The 22,547-nt window shown below is 50.2% G+C and overlaps 1 protein-coding gene across 8 annotated transcripts, besides 4 other annotated features; it reads left to right on the top strand.

Moving 5' to 3' along the window:
• P3H1 (prolyl 3-hydroxylase 1) lies at positions 211-20,865 on the top strand. 8 transcript variants are annotated; one of them, NM_022356.4, is made up of 15 exons: positions 211-732; positions 4,764-4,916; positions 7,849-8,038; positions 8,256-8,387; positions 9,317-9,456; positions 11,602-11,691; positions 12,022-12,074; positions 12,249-12,370; positions 14,575-14,702; positions 14,870-14,965; positions 16,903-17,053; positions 18,922-19,039; positions 19,441-19,516; positions 19,827-19,967; positions 20,387-20,865. In NM_022356.4, exons 1-15 carry the CDS (start codon positions 268-270, stop codon positions 20,540-20,542), a joined length of 2,211 nt encoding a protein of 736 aa, NP_071751.3. In that variant the 5' UTR covers positions 211-267; the 3' UTR covers positions 20,543-20,865. The 8 variants fall into 8 exon arrangements, 7 of the variants coding, with proteins under 7 accessions (NP_071751.3, NP_001139761.1, XP_047283572.1 ...); NM_001146289.2 differs by having other exon boundaries at positions 19,827-19,986; XM_047427616.1 differs by having other exon boundaries at positions 19,827-20,168.
• Positions 463-572: a silencer, noted in NCBI's record as "silent region_767". NCBI's record gives its function as "represses an Ori minimal core promoter by ATAC-STARR-seq in GM12878 lymphoblastoid cells {active_cell/tissue: GM12878}" and the evidence as "EXISTENCE:reporter gene assay evidence [ECO:0000049][PMID:35858748]".
• Positions 833-952: an enhancer, noted in NCBI's record as "active region_896". NCBI's record gives its function as "activates an Ori minimal core promoter by ATAC-STARR-seq in GM12878 lymphoblastoid cells {active_cell/tissue: GM12878}" and the evidence as "EXISTENCE:reporter gene assay evidence [ECO:0000049][PMID:35858748]".
• Positions 15,595-16,259: an enhancer, noted in NCBI's record as "OCT4-NANOG-H3K27ac-H3K4me1 hESC enhancer chr1:43216651-43217315 (GRCh37/hg19 assembly coordinates)". NCBI's record gives its function as "activates a minimal SCP1, AML or CMV promoter by ChIP-STARR-seq in naive and primed H9 embryonic stem cells {active_cell/tissue: H9 hESC(naive and primed)}" and the evidence as "EXISTENCE:reporter gene assay evidence [ECO:0000049][PMID:30033119]".
• Positions 21,855-22,055: a silencer, noted in NCBI's record as "peak195 fragment used in MPRA reporter construct". NCBI's record gives its function as "represses an SCP1 promoter by STARR-seq MPRAs in K562 erythroleukemia cells {active_cell/tissue: K562}" and the evidence as "EXISTENCE:reporter gene assay evidence [ECO:0000049][PMID:32103011]".

The following is a 22,547-nucleotide window of genomic DNA, read 5'->3' as shown; positions in this document are numbered from 1 at the left end:
AGCTTCCGTCTTTCTTGTCTACTGGGCGTCAGTTCGACTGAGCAAGGCCTGAGCTCGGAGGCGGGGCTCCGGCTGACGCGCCGGGATTCGCTGAGGGCCGGTGGGGGGATCCGGGCTGACTGAAAGGAAAAGAGGCGGTGCAAGCCTCGTGGGCATGCGCCGCCCGGCTTGGAAGGTGGGGCTTCGCCCGGGGGCGGGCCTTCGCCGGGGGTAGGACTCCGGCCTTGGTGGCGGGTGGCTGGCGGTTCCGTTAGGTCTGAGGGAGCGATGGCGGTACGCGCGTTGAAGCTGCTGACCACACTGCTGGCTGTCGTGGCCGCTGCCTCCCAAGCCGAGGTCGAGTCCGAGGCAGGATGGGGCATGGTGACGCCTGATCTGCTCTTCGCCGAGGGGACCGCAGCCTACGCGCGCGGGGACTGGCCCGGGGTGGTCCTGAGCATGGAACGGGCGCTGCGCTCCCGGGCAGCCCTCCGCGCCCTTCGCCTGCGCTGCCGCACCCAGTGTGCCGCCGACTTCCCGTGGGAGCTGGACCCCGACTGGTCCCCCAGCCCGGCCCAGGCCTCGGGCGCCGCCGCCCTGCGCGACCTGAGCTTCTTCGGGGGCCTTCTGCGTCGCGCTGCCTGCCTGCGCCGCTGCCTCGGGCCGCCGGCCGCCCACTCGCTCAGCGAAGAGATGGAGCTGGAGTTCCGCAAGCGGAGCCCCTACAACTACCTGCAGGTCGCCTACTTCAAGGTGCAGACCTGCCTGGAACCAGGCGGCCGGGGTCCTTCTGGGGAGAGGAGTGTTGCAGGGGACCTGAGGAGCTTGGGGGATCGGGGAAGTGTCCGCAGGGAGGGGAAAGTGGCCTCCTGGCTGGGGAGCTCTCCTCGGAGCCGGGGAGAGCTGCTCCCTGGCAGGAGACCTTCCTCGCCCAGTTCGCATGGGCAGATGCTAACCCCAAAGGTCCAGCCTGGGGTTAGGGCACAGGCCAAGCAAAACTCATGGCCATTTTGTTCCCTGGGAAATCTCCTGGAAGGAATTAAAGCGGCAGTTTGGGTCTCCCATTCTGATGTCATTGTAAGTGTCCGAGTGAGAAGCTAGTAGCGGTCTACAATATCTCCCTTCCGGTTGGTTTTCCAGTGGTGCTTTTCCTGCTGTTTGATTCAGCAGCTCTCTTTCAGGATGTGAGGTTGCCACGTCGCCAGCAGGGGCTGCCTGGCCCTTTCTGTGTGTGTGTGGGGGCGGGGGGGGGACCCTCTGGCTAGTCTGCCAGGTTTACAAAGAAAATGAGTATTTTTCGGAATGCCAGAGTGCCATGTGTCCAAGTGTACACTTGGGCTTGGAGCGTTCCAGGCTTGTTTGGTGGTGGTGATGGTGACGATGATGATGATGATGATAGCCAGCACATACTTCCAGGCACTATTTTAAGCAGTTTGCATTTATTAACGCATTTGCCCTAATCTTCATAATATCTTGTCAGGTAGATGCTGTTATTAGTCCCACTGTATTGGGGGTGGGGGGAGAAAGAGTTGTGCATTATATCTGGTATATCTGTTGTTTAAAAGACCTTCGATTCGATCTAAAGAGACACTTAGAGACTCTTGGGGACCTCAGATTTCCACCCCTCCACAGCATTCTGCCTACACAGTTCCCCTCATTTTTCCTAGTTACTCGGAAGAGCGCTGGACTTGAAATCAAAATAATTGCGTTATGTCTTTGGTTATGTCGCTTCATCATAGCACTTTCTAAAACTATTTGACAAACATGTATTGCATACCTACTGCATTCCAGTTCTTGTACAAGTAATTAAATGCTCGACTAACGTCTTTGCTTTGTCTTGCTTTGCTGTTAAGAGTTACTGTAGTAAGGGCTACTGCAAGGGCATATACTTAGGGCTGCGGGAGCACAAAGGAGGGAGACTCTAGCTTTATCTCAGAGAAATTAGACTTCAAAGAAGAGGTAATATTGAAGCCTGCCCTAAGTATTGCCAGGGGGAGAGGAAAGAAGGCTCCTCCAGATAGAGAGAAAAGTAGAACCAAAGCATGATGTATTCAGGAAAAAAAATGAACTCTTGTGATTGCAATGTCGAGATGTGTGTGGGGAGTAGTAGGAGAGGCGGCTAGAAAAGTCAGTGAGGCCAGATTTGGAAGAGAATTCTGCGGACTGCAGGGAGCCATCCTCAGATTTGGGTTTTAAAACGCTTATTCTGGAAGCCATGGTGAATGAGCCTTGGAAGAAGGAGAAAGTGGTGGCACTTGATTAGGAGGCAGACATTTGTCCACAAGAGAGGAGGTTAAGTACCTCAGTGCTTAGAGAGTAAAGAAGGCTGGGGGTGGAGAGAGGAGTGAGGACATGAGGGAGAACAGAGAAAGGCAGGAGCAGCGCTGAAAGACACAAGAGCTAGAGTAATTCCATGAAAGGGACAGACCTGAAAAAATTTCTAATTTTACAGTTAAAGAAACTGAGGTACAGAGATGGGGAGTTATTTACCTTGGGTCACCTAACCAGGGCTGACTCCTTTAGTGTGCCTTTACTAGTACCAATGATAAGAAAATAAGTTTTCTTAGCATATTAATCATACCACCTAAAATTTATTGAGCACTTAATCTGTGCCCAGCACCATGTATTACAGGCTGCATATTATCTCGTTGAACTCTCAACAATGCTAGGAGATAGCTAGAGAATGCTATCTCCAGATGATAGATTAGGGAAACTGAGTTTAGAAAGTAAACTTTAAGTATCTTGTCTACTGCCCAGCCAGTCAGTGAGTCATTAAGCCCAGATGTGATGCTGGCCTGTCTCTTTTCTTTCTTTCTTTTTTTTTTTTTTTTTTTTTGAGATGGAGTCTCGCTGTTGCCAGGCTGGAGTGCAGTGGCGACCTTGGCTTACTGCAACCTCTGACTTCTGGTTTTCTGGTTCAAGTGACTCCCCTACCTCAGCCTCCCGAGTAGCTGGGATTACAGGCACGTGCCATCACATCCGGCTAATTTTTGTATTTTTAGTAGAGATGGGGTTTCTCCATATTGGCCAGGATGGTCTGGATCTCCTGACCTTGTGATCCACCTGCCTCGGCCTCCCAAAGTGCGGGATTACAGGCGTGAGCCACCGCACCCAGCCCTCTTTTCTTTTGAGACGGAGTTTCGCTCTTGTTGCCCAAGCTAGAGTGCAATGGTGCGATCTCGGCTCACTGCAACCTCCGCCTCCTGGGTTCAAGCGATTCTCCTGCCTCAGCCTCCTGAGTAGCTGGGATTACAGGCACATGCCACCACGCCCAGCTATTGTTGGTCTCAAACTCCTGACCTCATGATCCGCTGGTCTCAAACTCCTGACCTCATGATCCGCCCGCCTCAGCCTCCCAAAGTGCTGGGATTATAGGCGTGAACCCCCGTGCCTGGCCACGGCTGGTCTCTTTGATACCAGTGTCCACATAGTTAATTACTAGATCATCAGTGATTTATTTGGTTGGATTCTATATATGAAACCTGTGTTACTTTGACATGCTGGAGTCCATTGCTGTGGGCATTGTGGTCTGTAGCCTATTTCTCCCCCCTTGGATTTCTTTTTTTTTTTTTTTTTTTTTTTTTTTTGAGACAAGAGTCTCGCTCTGTCACCCAGGCTGGAGTATGGTGCTGTGATCTCGGCTCGCTGTAACCTCCGCCTCCCGGGTTCAAGCGATTCTCCTGCTTCAGCCTCCCAAGAAGCTGGGATTACGGGTGTGCGCCACAACGCCCAGCTAATTTTTGTATTTTTAGTAGAGACGGGGTTTCACCATGTTGGCCAGGCTGGTCTCAAACTCCTGACCTCAAGAGATCTGCCCCCTTCGGCCTCCCAAAGTGCTGGGATTACAGGCATGAGCTACCGCCCCCGACCACCCCCTCAGATTTCTTAGAGCTATTTGTTTGAACCTCATGAGCCCTGAGCTTTGAGTCAGAAAATACTATGTCTGGACTTAGTAAAGGACCTTAGAATTTTTAGCCATCCACCTTTTCCCTAAATGTCTCAAAAATTCTTCATTTTATTTTATGCAAAAAAAAATTTTTTTCTAGGAAAATTCTTAGGCATAGTCTGTTAGCTGCTCTTTTTTCTCTACCCCTAAATCCTTGAAGCCACAGAATTTCTTCAGCTCAGGCATTACATTTGATTCATGAAATATATATATGTATTTTTTTTTTTTTGAGTCAGGGTCCTGCTGTGTCACCCAAGCTGGAGTGCTGTGGCACCATCTTGGCTCACTGCAACCTCTGCTTCCCAGGCCCAAGCGTCCTCCCACCTCAGCCTGCAGAGTAGCTGGGACTACAGGCATATAGTACCATGTAATTTTTGTATTTTTCGTAAAGACAGGGTTTCACCATGTTGCCCAGACTGGTCTTGAACTCCTGAGCTCAAGTGATCCACCTGCCTCGGCCTCTAAAAATGCTGGGATTACAGACCTGAGCCACCGCACCCAGCATGAAAACATATTATGTGGGCAGTCAGTCTTTCACAGCACTCCCCATACAATATGACCTTTGTTTTAAAATGGAACATTGCTACTTCCTGTAATCTGGGGAACCCCTAAATCTGACTTGGGAAAGAGCTACAAATCTGCCCAGGGCACTATGCTCCTAATCTGTCGTGGGTAGTTCCTGCAATAGGTGTGCTTCCTGGGGCTGGCAGGGGCTGGGCACGCTGAGTGGAGGGCTCAGGGAGGCAGGGATTTCCTGTTTATGTGGACTGCTCATGTGGACACAAACGTTCAGAGATTGGATGTGAGCATTATCCACCTTCTCATGCTTCATTCTTAGATCAACAAGTTGGAGAAAGCTGTTGCTGCAGCACACACCTTCTTCGTGGGCAATCCTGAGCACATGGAAATGCAGCAGAACCTAGACTATTACCAAACCATGTCTGGAGTGAAGGAGGCCGACTTCAAGGATCTTGAGACTCAACCCCATATGGTGAAAAAAACTTTATCCCCTTCTTTCTTTCTTTCTTTTTAAATTTATTTTAGAGACAGAGTCTTGCTCTGTCACCCAGGCTGGAGTGCAGTGGCTTGATCATAGCTCACTGTAACCTCAAATTCCCGGACTCAAGAGACCCTCTAGTCTCGGCCTCCTGAGTAGTTGGGACTACAGGCATGCATTCTTTTGTTTTTTTTTAAATGACATTACTAAGGTTGTTTTCTAATTACATTACAGAAGTAATGAATGTTCATTGTATAACATTGTAGAAATGTAGGTAAGTATAAAATAAAAAGTAATCATTTGTAATACCGCCACCTTAAGAAAACCAGTTTATATTTTGCCCTATTTTTTAAGTCTTCCGTATATAATTTTTTCATCTAATTTGGTGTTATATCATGTATGCATTTTTTATCATCTTTTTTATTTTTTTTGAGGCAGGGTCTCACTTTGTTGTCCAGGCTGCAGTGCAATGGTGTGATCATAGCTCACTGCAGCCTTGACCTCCTGGGCTCAAGTGATCCTCCCGCCTCAGCCCCACAAATAGCTGGGACTAGAGGCATGCACCACCATACCCAGCTATTGTTTTTATTTTTTGTAGAGACGGGGTCTCACTGTGTTGCCCAGGCTGATTTCAAACTCCTGGCCTCAAGCGATCCTACTGCCTTGGGCTCCCAAAGTGCTGGGATTGCAGGTGTGAGCCACCATGGCCAGCCCCATCATCATTTTTTAACTAACATTATTATCATGAGTCTTTTCTCATGTCTTCAGTTTTATTTGAAAACATAATTGTTTATGGCTGCATGATAGTCCATCTTATGCAGAGACTATATTAATTCACTAGTCACATTTTTTTGGTCATGTATGTTTTTGATTTTCACTACAATAAATGTTACAGTATCCTTCAATGTTCTCATTCTATTTGTTTAGCAGGAAAAGTTCCAAAGGAGGGACTGTCTGTGATGATATAGCATTTTATAGAGAGTTTATGGTTCCTTACATTTTAATTATAAAATAGGAATGTTAGAAACAATATAAGAATGACTTATAGGCCAGGCGCAGTGGCTAACACCTGTAATCCCAGCACTTTGGGAGGCCGAGGTGGGTGGATCACTTAAGGTCAGGAGTTTGAGACCAGCCTGGCCAATATGGTGAAACCCCATCTCTACTAAAAATACAAAAATTAGCCAGGCATGGTGGCATGCACCCGTAATCCCAGCTACTCGACATGGAGGCAGGAGAATAGCTTGAACCTGGAAGGTGGAGGTTGCAGTGAGCCAAGATTGTGCCACTGCACTCCAGCCTGGGTGACAGAGCAACAGTCAAAAAAAAAAAAAAAAAAAGAATGACTTTTAAAAGTAAGTTGTGGCCAGGTGCAGTGGGTCACACCTGTCATCCCAGCACTTTGGAAGGCCAAGGCGGGCGGATCACAAGGTCAGGAGATTGAGACCGTCCTGCCTAACATGGTGAATCCCTGTCTCTACTAAAAATACAAAAATTAGCTGAGCGTGGTGGTGTGTGCCTGTATTCCCAGCTACTCAGGAGCCTGAGGCAGAAGAATCGCTTGAACCCAGGAGGCGGAGGTTGCAGTGAGCCGAGATTGTGCCACTGCACTCCAGCCTGGGTGACAGAGCGAGACTCCATCACACACACAAAAAAAAGTAAGTTGTGTTGGCCGGGCGTGGTGGCTCATGCCTGTAATCCCAGAATTTTGGGAGGCCGAGGTGAGTGGATCACTTGAGGCCAGAAGTTCAAGACCAGCCTGGCCAACATGGTGAAATCCTGTCTCTACTAAAAATACAAAAATTAACCAGGTGTGGTGGTGTATGTCTGTAATCCCAGCTTCTCAGGAGGCTGAGGCGCTAGAATCACTTGAACCCAGGAGGTGGAGGTTACAGTGAGCTGAGATCATGCCACTGCCCTCCAGCCTGGGCTGTCTGTCTCAAAAAAAAACTCTGTCTCAAAACAAAACAAAACAAAAAGTAAGTTGTGTTTATTTGAAAACTGTTAGCCCTACAAAAAAGTGCAAGAACCTAGGCCAGGCACGGTGGCTCATGCCTGTAATCCCAGCACTTCGGGAGGCCGAGGCGGGCAGATCACCTGAGGTCAGCAGTTCAAGACCAGCCAGACCAACATGACAAAACCCCATCTCTACTAAAAACACAAAATTAGCCAGGCGTGGTGGCGCATACCTGTAATCCCAGCTACTCTGGAGGCTGAGGCAGGAGAATTGCTTGAACCCTGGAGGCGGATGTTGCAGTGAGCCAAGATCGCACTATTGCACTCTAGCCTGGGCAACAAGAGTGAAACTCCGACTCAAAAAAAAAAAAAAAAAAAAGTGCAAGAATCTGTCACTAATGGGGGGGGAAGAAAAGTACAAGAAAATCATAATGAACTCCTAGATATCTTTCATCTAGATTAAGAGTTAAATGTTTTTTGGCCAGGCACAGTGGCTCACACCTGTAATCCCAGCACTTTAGGAGGCCGAGTTGGGAGGATTGCTTGAGGTTAGGAGTTGGAGACCAGCCTGGCCAACATGGTGAAACCCCGTCTTTACTAAAATACAAAAATTAGCTGGGCACAATGTAATCCCAGCTACTAGGGAGGCTGAGGCAAGAGAATCACTTGAACCCAGGAGGTGGAGGTTGCAGTGAGCTGAGATTGTGCCACTGCAGTCCAGCCTGGGCAACAGAGTGAGACTCTGTCTCAAAAAAAGAAAAAAAGAGCTAAATGTTTTTAAATTTCCAGAGCTAAATATTTTGTAAAGACCATTTACAAAAGGCCTTCATTTTATAGTGGTACCCAGGTCACCCCTTTCCATCCATAACCTGAGGAACAGGAAATTAGGACCCCTGTGAAGGTGGCTGAGGGCAAGGAGAGAGGGTTCCTCCTCTGTGGCCTGCATTTGAGTGCTCCTTCTTCCCAGTAGCAAGAATTTCGACTGGGAGTGCGACTCTACTCAGAGGAACAGCCACAGGAAGCTGTGCCCCACCTAGAGGCGGCGCTGCAAGAATACTTTGTGGCCTATGAGGAGTGCCGTGCCCTCTGCGAAGGGCCCTATGACTACGATGGCTACAACTACCTTGAGTACAACGCTGACCTCTTCCAGGCCATCACAGGTGCGTGCAGTTCAGAGCCAGACCTTCAGCCAGGCCTCCTGGGACTCTAAGGTCACCATCTGATAATATAAATGGGGACTCTTCACCCTCATTCCTCAATTTATTAAATCTGAGAAGCTGATGAAAAATTGCTTCCATTTGAATTTGTTCATCTTAACCAGAATTTGAGTTCTAAAGAGTGACCTCATAGTTATTCCTTCTGTTTGATTCCTTTCAGATCATTACATCCAGGTCCTCAACTGTAAGCAGAACTGTGTCACGGAGCTTGCTTCCCACCCAAGTCGAGAGAAGCCCTTTGAAGACTTCCTCCCATCGCATTATAATTATCTGCAGTTTGCCTACTATAACAGTAAGGCCTACTTTCCTTCCTCTTTCTCTGCTGGCTAACTAAGAAGCTAAAGGCAAGGTGGGCAGGGATTACAGCCACTTACTTCCTCAAGGTGTTTGGCTTATTTCAGTAGCTATGGGAGGCACCATGCCAAGTGATCCCTGGGTAGTTTGTTATAAACAACTGGCCTAGGAAGCCAATACCAGCAACCCAAAAAGCTGGGGGAGGGAGACTTAGGACCTCATCTCTTGTCCCTTCTATAACTTGTAATCTATTTTTGCTTTTGAATTAAAGTTAATAGCAAAATAAGGGTATGCCACAGTTTAAACTAGCTCAGAGGACATTTGCTAGCCCTCTCCCTGGTATAGCACTGATGCTTTTGTGGGGCTGCCAATTAATACCCAGAAAACCAACTCTTTGCAGAGTCCCTACTGTGTGCTAAGCATTACAAACATATTGATGAGTGTACAATATTTACAGTTGAGTTGAGATGACTAACAAATATCAACAAGAACTATTTTGCCAAAGAGACAATCTGCTATTGTAATCTTCCTTGTCTTCTGAAAATCTATAGAAAAAAGAAGGTAGGAAGACAGGGAAATTGATCTAATGATTGAGTGTATTGAGGCAAAATATTAAGGAGTATTGGAATTATTTGTGAATCTTAAAAGATGTGGGCATGCAGAGAATTCTGATTCTTTTCTGTTTCATTGTTAGGCAGCCCTGAGGACATTGACCACCTCACCTTAAAATTAATCACACATTCTATGTGTATTACTTAACTCCTGCCCCTGAAATCAGGCCATCATGTTAAGTAGCAGGCACCAGCTTGTCATGCTGCCATTGCCTCAAGCTTTGTGGAGACTGAACACTAAGTGGTCCCTGGTGCTAGGATTTTATCCTTTCCTTTTGACTCTTTCCTCTCAGCCATTCTTCTTTCCACTTTGCAGTTGGGAATTATACACAGGCTGTTGAATGTGCCAAGACCTATCTTCTCTTCTTCCCCAATGACGAGGTGATGAACCAAAATTTGGCCTATTATGCAGCTATGCTTGGAGAAGAACACACCAGATCCATCGGCCCCCGTGAGGTGAGAGACTTCCTTCTGTTATGACAGCTGCCAGCTGAACTCAGACCTGAGGGCGGAAGAGTGGGGTAGCAGAGGGGAGTAGGCGCTGTGCGTGCAGGGCAGGGGCCAGATGTCAGTGTTGGGGCCAGATGTGAGTTCAGTCACTCGGCTTGTTATTCAGAGGAGAAGGGAGCACAGGGAGGGAGTGTGGGGAGTACACAGGAGCCTCAATTAGCGTTATCTGGGCCCAGAAGTCTATTCTCTGAGTCCCGCAGAACTGCGCGGTGAGCATATTCTTTCCCCTCTTGGCACCCCTAACTTGGACACTCGATATTATTTGGCCAAGAGCTATCATTTTTCACTTAATACTGGTTGTTTTTTTTCTGCTCACCTGTTTTCTGTCTCCATTTTCTTTCCCATCTCTTCTTCTTCCTGCCATTGTTTGTTCTCTCCCATCTTTCAGCATTTTCCCTGTCTCTCTCCAAAACCAGGAGAAATATCTGTATAACACAAAGACTGCTGCGCTGAAAGGAGACACCCAGGCTCTTCTTCCGAGCTCTGGAGTCTGAGAGCCTCCAGTAGAAACAGCCTCTTGCTGCCCCTCCTGTGTGGGTTGTCATTGTAGTTGTCCTCTTTAGCCACTAGATGGTGACCATCTGGCTTTAAGATGGCACTTCCGGTCTCTTTTGTCTTGTTTGGTTAATACCTTTTCCCTGCCTTCCTTATGGCCATTAAGGGGAGTCTGAGGGGAGTGAGGGGAAATAAACCCACGTGGCCAATCTAGCATTTTTAACTAGAAGTCCCCTTTTGGAAAGAAGGCAACTAACATTTGTTGAGCCGCTGTCCAGGCGAAGCTCTGTGCGGGGTGGGCTGTATCCATCATCTCATTTAATCATCACAGCCACCCTGCAAGGTTGGCACTCTTCTTCCCACTTTAGGGATGAGGACTGTTAGCATCTGAGAGATGAAGTAACTTGTGCAGTGGCTTGTGGCCAGTCAGTGGTGACCGGAATCTGTTCCCTGCTTGGACCCAGTGCAGGCACAGCTCCAGACACATGGCTGACACTCAGTAAATCAGCATCGAATGAATAAAGATGGAAGTGGGGTTTGCTTCATAGCAGCCTTATAGGGTCATTGGAGAGGGTTAAATGAGATAACATAGCATTTGGTGACAGAAGCCAGTAATGTAAACTCCTGAAGAGAAAACGTCTCTCTTCCTCTTAGGTAAATATAGTAGATGACATAGGATTCATTGACTCCTTTAATTCCTCCTTGAACTGCCTCATGTTTTATTTCAACTGATGTCTCCTTTTTCTCTTCCTTCCTCCTCCTGCTGCTTGGAGATTAGCAGGGCACCTAGGGAAAGATGTGACCCCGGAAAGTACTCAGTTTCCCTGCCCTGGGTAAGCCTTGCCTGGGAGTCCATGTGGGAAGCCCAGAGTGCCAGGCCCTCCCCTTTAGCTGCTTATCCTCAGGGAGGGGTGTGGTCTGGTTAGGGTCTGAGAGGAGGCAGGTGGCAGAGCAGAAAGCACATGGGCTTTAGGACTGTAAAGACCCGGCTTTATCTGTCCAAATGCACATTCTGCTATGAAAAAAAAGAAAAAGATAACAGAAGACCTGGGTTTGACTGTAGGTCGCTGCTCTCCCATGTCCTGTAGTGTCACCTTAGACAGTGGTACATCTCCTCTGTGCCTCAGATGCTTCCTCTGTAGAATGAGCATACTAGTATCAACCTCAGATGTGGCTATAAAAGATCAAATGAATAACATGTCAGTTGCCTAATGCCTGATTCCTTTTCCTGCTTTGTGGACTCCTGTAGAAGTCAAGAAGGAATTCTCCTTCTTTGAAGAATATTTCCACTTTTGAGAATCATCAGATTATCTGTCCTAGAGACTAATGGGGGTTGGGATGGGGGAGGAGCAGGGCTTTTTCCCTTAAGGAAAGCCTGGTTATTCCAGTACCTCAGAGGTACTGTTGCTTGTGCCAGGCAGAGGACACAGAAATTAGACTTTTGTCTCAAACTGGGGAACAGACAGAGAGCATTGGTAGGGAGAGGAGGCCTCAGGTCACATGGGAGCATCAGTGTGGGGTGCCAGGGAGGGGAACTCCCAGAGGTTAAAAGACAGGGCTGAGTTCTGGGGGATTTGTTTGCTTTTTTACCCTCAGAGTGCCAAGGAGTACCGACAGCGAAGCCTACTGGAAAAAGAACTGCTTTTCTTCGCTTATGATGTTTTTGGAATTCCCTTTGTGGATCCGGTGAGCTAGGGTACAGGAGCCGGAAGGGAGCGGGGAAAGAGTGAGCAGGAGAGATGAATGGGGAGGAGGGGAACACTGTGCGATTCTGAGAGAAAACTTGCTGGAGGCTGAGCCTAGCCTGGGATCTGTGCAAGGCAGGGATGAGAGACAGATGAAAGGGGAACACTGGGCAGCTAGAAGGGACTTAGATGTGGAAACCTCCCATTTTGTCTCCTGAAAGGAAGAGGGTGATAAGCTGGATTACTCCTGTGGGCCTTATTTTATGCATTGAGACACCTGGAAGATTAAGTAGATCATCTTACCTTTTTCATTTCTTCCTGACCTACTTAGGATTCATGGACTCCAGAAGAAGTGATTCCCAAGAGATTGCAAGAGAAACAGAAGTGAGGACCTTGAAGAAACTGCATGGTTGGATCAGTCTGATGAAGCACTTGAGGCTTCCTGAGCCCAGGCAGATGTGAACTCCTGGCAAGGGGTGGGCAGGTCCAGTTTGGGAAGTCGGGGTGGAGCCCAGGGCTGGCCCTGGAATGCAGTCCTCAGAGCGGCTGTGCTCATAGGTCAGAACGGGAAACAGCCGTACGCATCTCCCAGGAGATTGGGAACCTTATGAAGGAAATCGAGACCCTTGTGGAAGAGAAGACCAAGGAGTCACTGGATGTGAGCAGACTGACCCGGGAAGGTGAGAGGACAGAAATAGGGGCATGTCTGGCTGTTGTCAGGGAGCCAGGCAGGTCACCCCACATTTGCCAGGCAGCGCTCCACCCCAGCATTGCAGAGCTCACCATGAGCCAGCCACCCTTAGGGTGCAAGTTCAGTGGACATCCTTCCTAACTCACCAGCGGGACTTTCAGCTGGAAAGAGCACTGAGAATCAGCCTTTGGCTCAGAAATCAGACTCCAGGATGTAGTGGTGCACACCCGTAATCCCAGCTACTTGGCAGGCTGAGGCAGGAGGATCGCTTGAGCCCAGGAGTTTGAATCCAGCCTGGGCAATATAGCAAGACCTCATCTTTAAAAAAAAAGAAAGAAATGAGACTTCTGTGTCACAGAAACATGAGTGACTAGTGTTGTCCACTTCCATAGGTATTAACTCATCCTGTCTCCCCACTCCCAAACTGTTTTCTCCCGGTTTTCACCATTCGTCCCTTTACTGAGACTCAACGCCTTCAGGCCTCCTTTGGCTCCTCTTCCTCCTGTGCCCGTTTTCTGCAAGCTGCTGGGAAGGCCTACTGATTGTGGCTCTGCTCTGCAGTGCTTCTCAGCTCTCTCCCCAGCCTTTTCCGTTTTTCATTGCCTCAGGCTTCCTTCAGGCCCTGGCACCTCCTATCTGCACCCACCCTTTCCCCGTCTGGCCTGTCCTTGCCCCTGCCCACACAAGGTAGCTAGGCCAGTCTTCCAGACACTGGCCTCTGACCCATCCTCCGTGCCTGCCCCTTAACCGAATGTTCTACTCTTGTCCTGTTTACACCGTCTCTTCACACAGGACTGCACTTTGTTCCGTGAGCCCGCCCACTGCCCACCAGTCTGTGTTTATGCCTGGCTCTCCTAGTACGCTTCCCACCATCCCTGCCCATGAGGGCATCTGAGATATACCCTGCAAAGCCTTTCTTTTTTTTTTTTTTGGAGATGGAGTCTTGCTCTGTTGCCCAGGCTGGAGTGCAGTGGTGCAATCTTGGCTCACTGCAACCTCCACATCCCGGGATCATCAAGGAATTCTCCTGCCTCAGCCTCCCAAGTAGCTGGGATTACAGGCATGTGGCACCATGCCTGGCTAATTTTTTTGTATTTTTAGTAGAGATAGGGTTTCACCATGTTGGCCAGGCTGGTCTCAAACTCCTGACCTTGTGATCCACCCGCCCTGGCCTCCCAAAGTGCTGAGATTATAGGCATAAGCCACTGTGCCCTGCCGTAAAGCCTTTCTTAACCTCCCAGATGATTGGAGTCCCCTCCTTTCTTTTGAACTTCTTAGGGCATTTATGGTCTGTCTTATGCTAGTTATTTGCATAATTGTTAGAGAACAGGTACTGTCTTCTAGGATTCATCTCTCACCCTATCTGGCACAGTTCCTGGTACACACTGAGGCCTCAGTTATCAAGTGGAGTTGAACTGAGTCTCTAGTATTAGTATGTCCCTAGCACAGAGAAACACCATGAGAACTGTAAGAGAGAAATGTTGACCTTTGCCCTATAGTTGCTTAAATTAACAGTGGTTAATTAAACAAGATTAGCGTATGAAAAGAATTTGTCCAGCATTCCTTTGTTTTCAGACCACTTTCACTTTGTTATTTCTCTTGATTCTTATAACTGAGAGGTGAGTCATGCAGATTGCAAGATCCTTATTTTAAATGAATAATGATGATGATACCATGGTAGCCAAACTTTTGAGGACTTACCATATGCCAAATATTGTACTAAGCTTTTAACTTGCCTTCCTTGTTCTTAACATTATACTGGCATCAAACATATAAGGTAGATGCTGTTTGACAGATGAGAACATTTTAATTAATTAAAATTAACCTCAGGGAGGTTAAGTAACTTGCCAAGGTCACACAGCTAATCAATGGAGGATCTAGGAGTCAAAGTCAGTTCTTCCTCGTTCCCGAGCTCATGTTTTAGGATTGTGTTTCTGATGTTTCCTCAAGAGTGTGTCATGGCCCAAAAGCCAGCAGCTATTTGGTCATGGAGCTGGGACTGGGAATCTCATCTTTCAGCTCTATGTTCTGTCCTCTGGACTATTCTACCTTTGAAAATGACCTAGCGGGAGATTTTGCTGGTGAAAAGGAAACAGCTGGAATTTCTATTTGTGACGAGGAGGCAATATCCAATGGAGAGTCTTTGGTCTAGCTGCTGCTAGATTTAGCTAGAGTTTTGTCATTGCTTTGCAGGTGGCCCCCTGCTGTATGAAGGCATCAGTCTCACCATGAACTCCAAACTCCTGAATGGTTCCCAGCGGGTGGTGATGGACGGCGTAATCTCTGACCACGAGTGTCAGGAGCTGCAGAGACTGACCAATGTAAGGGAAGCCCAGTGACTGCACCTTCCCCCAAGGGTCCAGCATCCCCCCACCAAGTGCCCCTTGGGTGGTAGCCTTCGCCTTCCTCTTCCTGGCCACAGTTGACCACCTCTTCTCAAGCCCTCAGCTGCCCTGGCTAACATCACCTTGTGTTTTGGGCCTTGTAGGTGGCAGCAACCTCAGGAGATGGCTACCGGGGTCAGACCTCCCCACATACTCCCAATGAAAAGTTCTATGGTGTCACTGTCTTCAAAGCCCTCAAGGTAAGATCAACACTGGGCATTCTAGAGTGTGGAGAAAGGGGTGGGGAAGGGGGAAGCTCAGGCTTTGAGGAAGAGTTGGGGCTGGTGGCAGGAAAGGTGAAGAGGGTCCACCTGCCAACATTCTTGTTGCCAGGAAGCGAGGATGAGTTATGTTGCGTGAGGTTCACTTTTGAATCCTGTTAGACCGAGTGTAATCAAAACAAAGTGAGCAGGATAAGACTGTTCGCCAAAGCTATGAGAATGCTTTCTTTAGAAAGGCTGATTCTAGAGGGCTGTGCTTCTGTGCAGGATGCACAGTGTGCTCATAAAGAGAGATAAGAAGGACAGGAGGAAGAGGAATATAGTAGGGGTATTGGGCGTGGGCAGCAGAGGCTGCAGCTTCAGTGGGGGTGTGGGGACGTGGGATGGGCCTGGTACTCATTGTCTCTGGCCCCTAAAGAGGGGCGTTGTGTTAGTCCGTTTTCACACTGCTGATAAAGACGTACCCGAGACTGGGCAATTTACAAAAGAAAGAGGTTTACTTGGACTTACAGTTCCATGTGGCTGGGGAAGCCTCACAATCATGGTGGAAGGCAAAGAGGAGCAAGTCACATCTTACATGGATGGCAGCAGGCAAAGAGAGAACTTCTGCAGGCAAACTCCCATTTTTTTATTTTTTATTTTTTATTATTTTATTTATTTATTTATTTATTTATTTATTTTTTTTTTATTGATCATTCTTGGGTGTTTCTCGCAGAGGGGGATTTGGCAGGGTCACAGGACAATAGTGGAGGGAAGGTCAGCAGATAAACAAGTGAACAAAGGTCTCTGGTTTTCCTAGGCAGAGGACCCTGCGGCCTTCCGCAGTGTTTGTGTCCCTGGGTACTTAAGATTAGGGAGTGGTGATGACTCTTAACGAGCATGCTGCCTTCAAGCATCTGTTTAACAAAGCACATCTTGCACCGCCCTTAATCCATTTAACCCTGAGTGGACACAGCACATGTTTCAGAGAGCACAGGGTTGGGGATAAGGTCACAGATCAACAGGATCCCAAGGCAGAAGAATTTTTCTTAGTACAGAACAAAATGAAAAGTCTCCCATGTCTACTTCTATCCACACAGACCCCGCAACCATCCGATTTCTCAATTTTTTCCCCACCCTTCCCGCCTTTCTATTCCACAAAACCGCCATCGTCATCATGGCCCATCCCCAATGAGCCGCTGGGCACACCTCCCAGACGGGGTCGTGGCTGGGCAGAGGGGCTCCTCACTTCCCAGTAGGGGCGGCCGGGCAGAAGCGCCCCTCACCTCCCGGATGGGGCGGCTGGCCGGGCGGGGGGCTGACCCCCCCACCACCCTCCCGGACGGGGCGGCTGGCCAGGCAGAGGGGCTCCTCACTTCCCAGTAGGGGCAGCCGGGCAGAGGCGCCCCTCACCTCCTGGATAGGGCGGCTGGCCGGGCAGGGGGCTGACCCCCCCACCTCCCTCCCGGACGGGGCGGCTGGCCGGGCAGAGGGGTCCTCACTTCCCAGTAGGGGCGGCCGGGCAGAGGCGCCCCTCACCTCCCGGACAGGGCGGCCGGCCGGGCGGGGGGCTGACCCCCCCACCTCCCTCCCGGACGGGGCGGCTGGCCGACCACCCCCCCCGGCCTCCCTCCCGGACGGGGTGGCTGGCCGGGCTGAGGGGCTCCTCACTTCCCAGTAGGGGCGGCCGGGCAGAGGCGCCCCTCACCTCCCGGACGCAAACTCCCATTTTTTTAAAGCCACCAGATCTCGTGAGACTTATTCAGTATTATGAGAACAGCACGGGAAAGATCCACCCCCATTATTCAGTCATCTCCCACCAGGTCCCTTCCACAACACATGGGAATTATGGGAACTACAAGATAAGATTTGGGTAGGGACACAGAGCCAAACCATATCAGTCGTTGAGGGCAGCTGACCATCTGTCTCCTTGGCAGCTGGGGCAAGAAGGCAAAGTTCCTCTGCAGAGTGCCCACCTGTACTACAACGTGACGGAGAAGGTGCGGCGCATCATGGAGTCCTACTTCCGCCTGGATACGCCCCTCTACTTTTCCTACTCTCATCTGGTGTGCCGCACTGCCATCGAAGGTGGGCCTCATTACCCCTGCAGCACCCGCCCCCGCATGCTGTACCTCAGCTCTGTGCTGGATGCTGAAGACACAGAGAGAACAGGATGCGGTCCCTTTTCTTCAGTTGGGGAACCAATGTAAATACATGGGTGGCATCCCAGTGTGATGCATGCCACAGTAGCATGGAGGAAGTTATAGTCAACCTACCTGGGGATCAAGAAGGCTTCCCAGAGGGAAATGGGGTGCAGCCAGAAAGGGGGCCACCCGTCACTTGTCACACAACGCACTTTAATGGGGAAGCTGGTGCTAAACCATTCATAGAGGACCTGCCTCCGGGTTAGGGTTTCATACATAGCTGAGCAGCTCCCTCGCTGCCATCTGTTGAAAGACAGCCCTCAACAGAAGGGCTTGTTAAAAGCAAAAATAATAACAACAACAACAACAACAAAAAGAAGGCTTCCCAGAGGAAGCAATGGCAGTTTTGCAGGATGAATACGATTACGGAGTACTCCGGGTGGTGGGATGGTGTTTGCACAGGAGTGGAGGCATTGTGCAGCCTGGTAGTCAGGGGAACTAAGAAAGGTGCCAAATCCTGGAGAGCTACATTCAAGGGAATTTTTATCCTTTAGCTCAACCATAGCTATGTGGCAGATTCTCTTTTACTAATTGTTAAATACCAAATTTGTGAGAGAGCTTCGTGATTTACAAGTGAGAGTGGCCTGGAGGTTATTCCTCATTCCCTCGCCCACCCACATTCCCTTTTGCATGTCCAAGAAGGGGAGAGGTTCAGCTAGTGCTGCAAGGATCCTATGTGGCCCAGAGCCGGCTCTGTCATACTGGAGCCTCCAGCAGGCCCCTGGCAGTGATGGCCATTGGTACGTGGCACAGATCAGAGGGCTTTCCTCTACCTCAGAATGTTTGGAATTCTGTCACAATCTGGGCACACCCAAAGGGACCAGTCAGACACACAACTGGGTGTGTCACAAGCCCCCGGTGGGAGAGCACAAGCACAGGTGCCAGGAGGCCAGGGAGGCCTCATCAAGCAGTGAAGGACGTGGTGAGGCCTTGACTTTTAAAGGATTCATTTTGCTGCTGTGTGTGTGGAGAGATTTCAAACCAAAAAGGGAAGCTGGTCAGCAATGACCTCTGTGGACAAGGGCAAAGCCCTAAACTCAGGAAGTGGCAGTGGGAGGAGGGAGAAGTGAGGCCCCGGGAAGGTGCAGGAGGTGGATGGACAGGACCTGGTGACTGGCTGGACAAGTGGGAATGGAGAAGGAGGCACCCACCACGACGTGACGGTGCCTACATAGAGCATGCCAAAGGTTTGCGTTGGGGAAAGACGTGGTCTGCCTGGCATTTGACAGTGAGCCCGGTCTGTTCCCTTTCGTGACCTTCTCCCTGCATGGTTTCTCCACCCACCCCACCCCAGAGCCCCACTGAAGTTCATGCTTTCCCTTTGCTAGCCAGCTCTTCTCTGCCCCACTTCCTGCCACTCAGCCCCATCTCCTGCAGTCCTGATGGAGGACTGACCCACTCTGCCCTGCGTCCGTCCCACCTCCTGATCCCTCATTCTCACTTCCCTGGGCCTTTGTATTTTGTAAAGTCCAGCTACAAACCAGGGTTGTGCCATTCTGCCCAGGATCTGCCCTTGGTTGGAGCCCTTCATTCCTGCTTGCCACACCCTGCTCACTTCTGCCAAGAACTGTCCTAGGAAGCCTGCAGACTTGTCCTGACCCCTAGGCTTGTGGCTTAGCCAAAGACACCCCCCTAGTTCATTGGGCATTCCGTAGACTCAAACACATTTTGGGAAGCACCTCCCCTGCCAAGAAGAGAGCTATGCCGTCTCCCGAGGTGCTCCCTTGCTAACATGTGTGACATTGGCCCCAGAGGTCCAGGCAGAGAGGAAGGATGATAGTCATCCAGTCCACGTGGACAACTGCATCCTGAATGCCGAGACCCTCGTGTGTGTCAAAGAGCCCCCAGCCTACACCTTCCGCGACTACAGGTGAGTGCGGGGCAGGTGCAGGGTGAGGAGGTCTGTGCCCTCCTCAGAGGCCCCACAGTGCCCTGCACTCTACTACCCCACCCTAGCACACACACACTGGTTGGGGCTAGCTGTTCCCAGAGTCCAATCCTTTATCCCCAAACCCGCTGGATAAGAAGATAGGCAAAGAGGGAATCATATCGTGGTGTGACAAGAACGGTAGTGTGAGTGGGCACAGGGGACTCTAAGGCGAGGGTGGAGAGTGGAAAGGTGGAGTTTGTACGGCATCAGTATAGGTTCTTAAAGGTTTCCCTCCCACACAAAGCCACCCTCCTGCTGCTGGTTGAGAGCACCTGGAGGTGAAGGCTCAGGGGAAAGGGAGGCAGGGAAGGGCCATGATGAGATGTCTCTGCCTTTCCCAGCGCCATCCTTTACCTAAATGGGGACTTCGATGGCGGAAACTTTTATTTCACTGAACTGGATGCCAAGACCGTGACGGTGAGTGCTCCCTTGTCCTTGTCCCTGGGAGATAAAAAGTCTGTTTTCTACAGCTGATGTTCCCAAAGTGCAGTGGACAAAAATAACCAACTGGGCTTCCCAGTGGGCGGTACCCTTCCCCCATCCAGAGGGGCTTTGAGACGTGTCCATCACTCCTCTAACCAGTCACCCTTTCTCTTTAGTTCTGGTCTTAGGGAAGCCATACTGAAGAGCTGCCCTCGGTCGTGAGCCCTAATGAGCCCATGTCTCTTCTGAGAGTGGATTACAGTCTTTGTCCTGTGCAACCCCCCTCCCTTTCTGTCCCCCTTAGGCAGAGGTGCAGCCTCAGTGTGGAAGAGCCGTGGGATTCTCTTCAGGCACTGAAAACCCACATGGAGTGAAGGCTGTCACCAGGGGGCAGCGCTGTGCCATCGCCCTGTGGTTCACCCTGGACCCTCGACACAGCGAGCGGGTGAGAGCAGCTCGAGCGGGTGAGAGCAGCTGGTGCTGTGGTGACCCGTTCCCAGAGCGCCCTTGGTTTGCCTTTCTCTTCCCCAAATCCCATTGCCAGTGGCTGAGACACGAAAGGAGCACTTGGGACACCAGCTCCAACGCCCTGTCATTATGGTCACATTGCCTTGTCCTCCCTGGGCCTGCTGTGAACGGGATCCAGGTGGGGAAAGAGGTCAAGACAGGGAGCGATGCTGAGTTCTTGGTTCCCTCCTTGGGCCCCACTTCAGCTGTCCTTTTCCAGAGAGTAGGACCTGCTGGGAAGGAGATGAGCCTGGGGCCATTAAGGAACCTTCCTTGTCCCCTGGGAAGTAGCAGCTGAGAGATAGCGAGTGTCTGGAGCGGAGGCCTCTCTGAATGGGCAGGGGTTTGTCCTTGCAGGACAGGGTGCAGGCAGATGACCTGGTGAAGATGCTCTTCAGCCCAGAAGAGATGGACCTCTCCCAGGAGCAGCCCCTGGATGCCCAGCAGGGCCCCCCCGAACCTGCACAAGAGTCTCTCTCAGGCAGTGAATCGAAGCCCAAGGATGAGCTATGACAGCGTCCAGGTCAGACGGATGGGTGACTAGACCCATGGAGAGGAACTCTTCTGCACTCTGAGCTGGCCAGCCCCTCGGGGCTGCAGAGCAGTGAGCCTACATCTGCCACTCAGCCGAGGGGACCCTGCTCACAGCCTTCTACATGGTGCTACTGCTCTTGGAGTGGACATGACCAGACACCGCACCCCCTGGATCTGGCTGAGGGCTCAGGACACAGGCCCAGCCACCCCCAGGGGCCTCCACAGGCCGCTGCATGACAGCGATACAGTACTTAAGTGTCTGTGTAGACAACCAAAGAATAAATGATTCATGGTTTTTTTTACTTGGTTTGTTCAGACAATGGAAATTTGCCCATTCTGTCCCAGAGGTCTCACTTGATAAAAATTGCTCTAGGCAGGACCCAGTGGCAGGTGTGGGACGAGAAGTCCTGGCTTGGCACCTGGCTCAACCACTTGCTGTGCAGCCACAGGCCAGACACTTAACCTTCAGCACCTCGGGGTTGTCATCTGTATAATGGGGATCATAGTCCTCCCTCTGCTCACCTTCTGGGGCAGCTGTATGGCCCAGATGCAATATCGGATGTGACAACACTTTTGTAAACGGTAAAGCTCTGGGTGAATGGTTGGGATTATTGTTAATCCTCTTCTGGCAGGGAGCGGCGGTCAGCAGTGCTCTGGCACGTCACCCCTATGTCAGCCACATGCTTCCTGCTCTGCCGTCTGGCCTCAGTGTCCTGTATCTCGGCCTCCCTGTGCAGGAAGACACACTCTAGGAAACACTGGAAATGGAGATTCAGCTCCTCTGGCTACATCCCTGGTACTAGGTCCAGAGCTTTTACTGTGCTTGAGATGCCACAGGGCGTTGAGTGTAGGAACCTGCACATGAGTGTTCACTTCTTCCATCAATCAATATGTATTTACTGAGCACCAGCTAAGTGCCTGGTGCTGGGAACGTGGCAGTGAACAAGTCCCCACCTTCATACAGCTTGTATTTTGTAGGAGAAACAGATAACACATGTAAATTGTGTGTGTGTGTGTGTGTGTGTGTGTGTGTGTGTAAAACCCTTAGAGGTAGAAAATAAAACAAGTCAGGGTCCAAGGTGGAGGAAAAACAAGGAAGCCAATGTGGCGGTGTAGATTGGTCAAGAAAGAGTATGGTGACATTAGCCAGGAGACGTGTCACGTGCCTGTAGTCCCAGCTGGACGCTGAGGCAGGAAGATCGCTTGAGCCTGGAAGTTCGAGGCTGCAGTGAGCTATGATCGCCCGACTGCACTCCAGCCTTCACAAGAAAGCAAGATCCCAACTCTAAAAACAAATAAAAAGGAAAGTGGTGGATTGTCAGGGGTGTCTGGGGGCCTATTTTTAAAGTAGAGCCAACAGGCATTGCTGATGGATTGGATGTGAGGTGTGAGAAAAGGCATCAAGAAGAAGCTAGGCCAGGCTCAGTAGCTCCGCTTGTAATCCCAGCAGTTTGGGAGGCGAAGGCCAGTGGATCACTTGAGTTCAGAAGTTTAAGACCAGCCTGGTCAACATAGGGTGACCCTATCTCTAAAAAAAACTTGAAAAGCCAGGCATGGTGATGCACACCTGTGGTCCCAATACTAAGGAGGCTGAGGTAGGAGGATCATGAGCCCAGGACGTCAAGCCTGCTCCATTGCACTCCAGCCTGAGTGACAGAGCAAGACCATGTCTCAAAGAAAGAACAAGGCTGGTCTTTGTGGCTCACGCCTGTAATCCCAGCACTTTGGGAGACTGAGGTGGGTGGCTCACCCAAGGTCAGGAGGTCGAGACCAGCCTGGCCAACATGGTGAAACCCGTCTCTACTAAAAATACAAAAATTAGCTGGGTGTGGTGGCAGGCGCCTGTAATCCCAGCTACTCGGGAGACTGAGGCGAGATAATCATTTGAACCCAGGAGGCGGAGGTTGCAGTGAGCCAAGATCACGCCATTGCACTCCAGCCTGGGCAACAAGAGTGACACTCCATCTCAAATAAATAAATAAGA

Source organism: Homo sapiens, chromosome 1 (genome assembly GCF_000001405.40).
Source record: "Homo sapiens chromosome 1, GRCh38.p14 Primary Assembly".
NCBI lineage: Eukaryota > Metazoa > Chordata > Mammalia > Primates > Hominidae > Homo > Homo sapiens.
The sequence above is the reverse complement of the archived record's forward strand: the minus strand, read 5'-3'. Positions and strand labels throughout refer to the sequence as shown.

Bases quoted from the DNA above. Each gene is read 5' to 3' on its own strand.
- P3H1 (NM_001243246.2), top strand. From the start codon at position 268: ATGGCGGTACGCGCGTTGAAGCTGCTGACCACACTGCTGGCTGTCGTG. The intron at 8,388-9,316 runs GTAAGGCCTACT...TCCACTTTGCAG, and splicing joins GCAGTTTGCCTACTATAACA to TTGGGAATTATACACAGGCT. The intron at 9,457-11,601 runs GTGAGAGACTTC...TTTTACCCTCAG, and splicing joins GATCCATCGGCCCCCGTGAG to AGTGCCAAGGAGTACCGACA.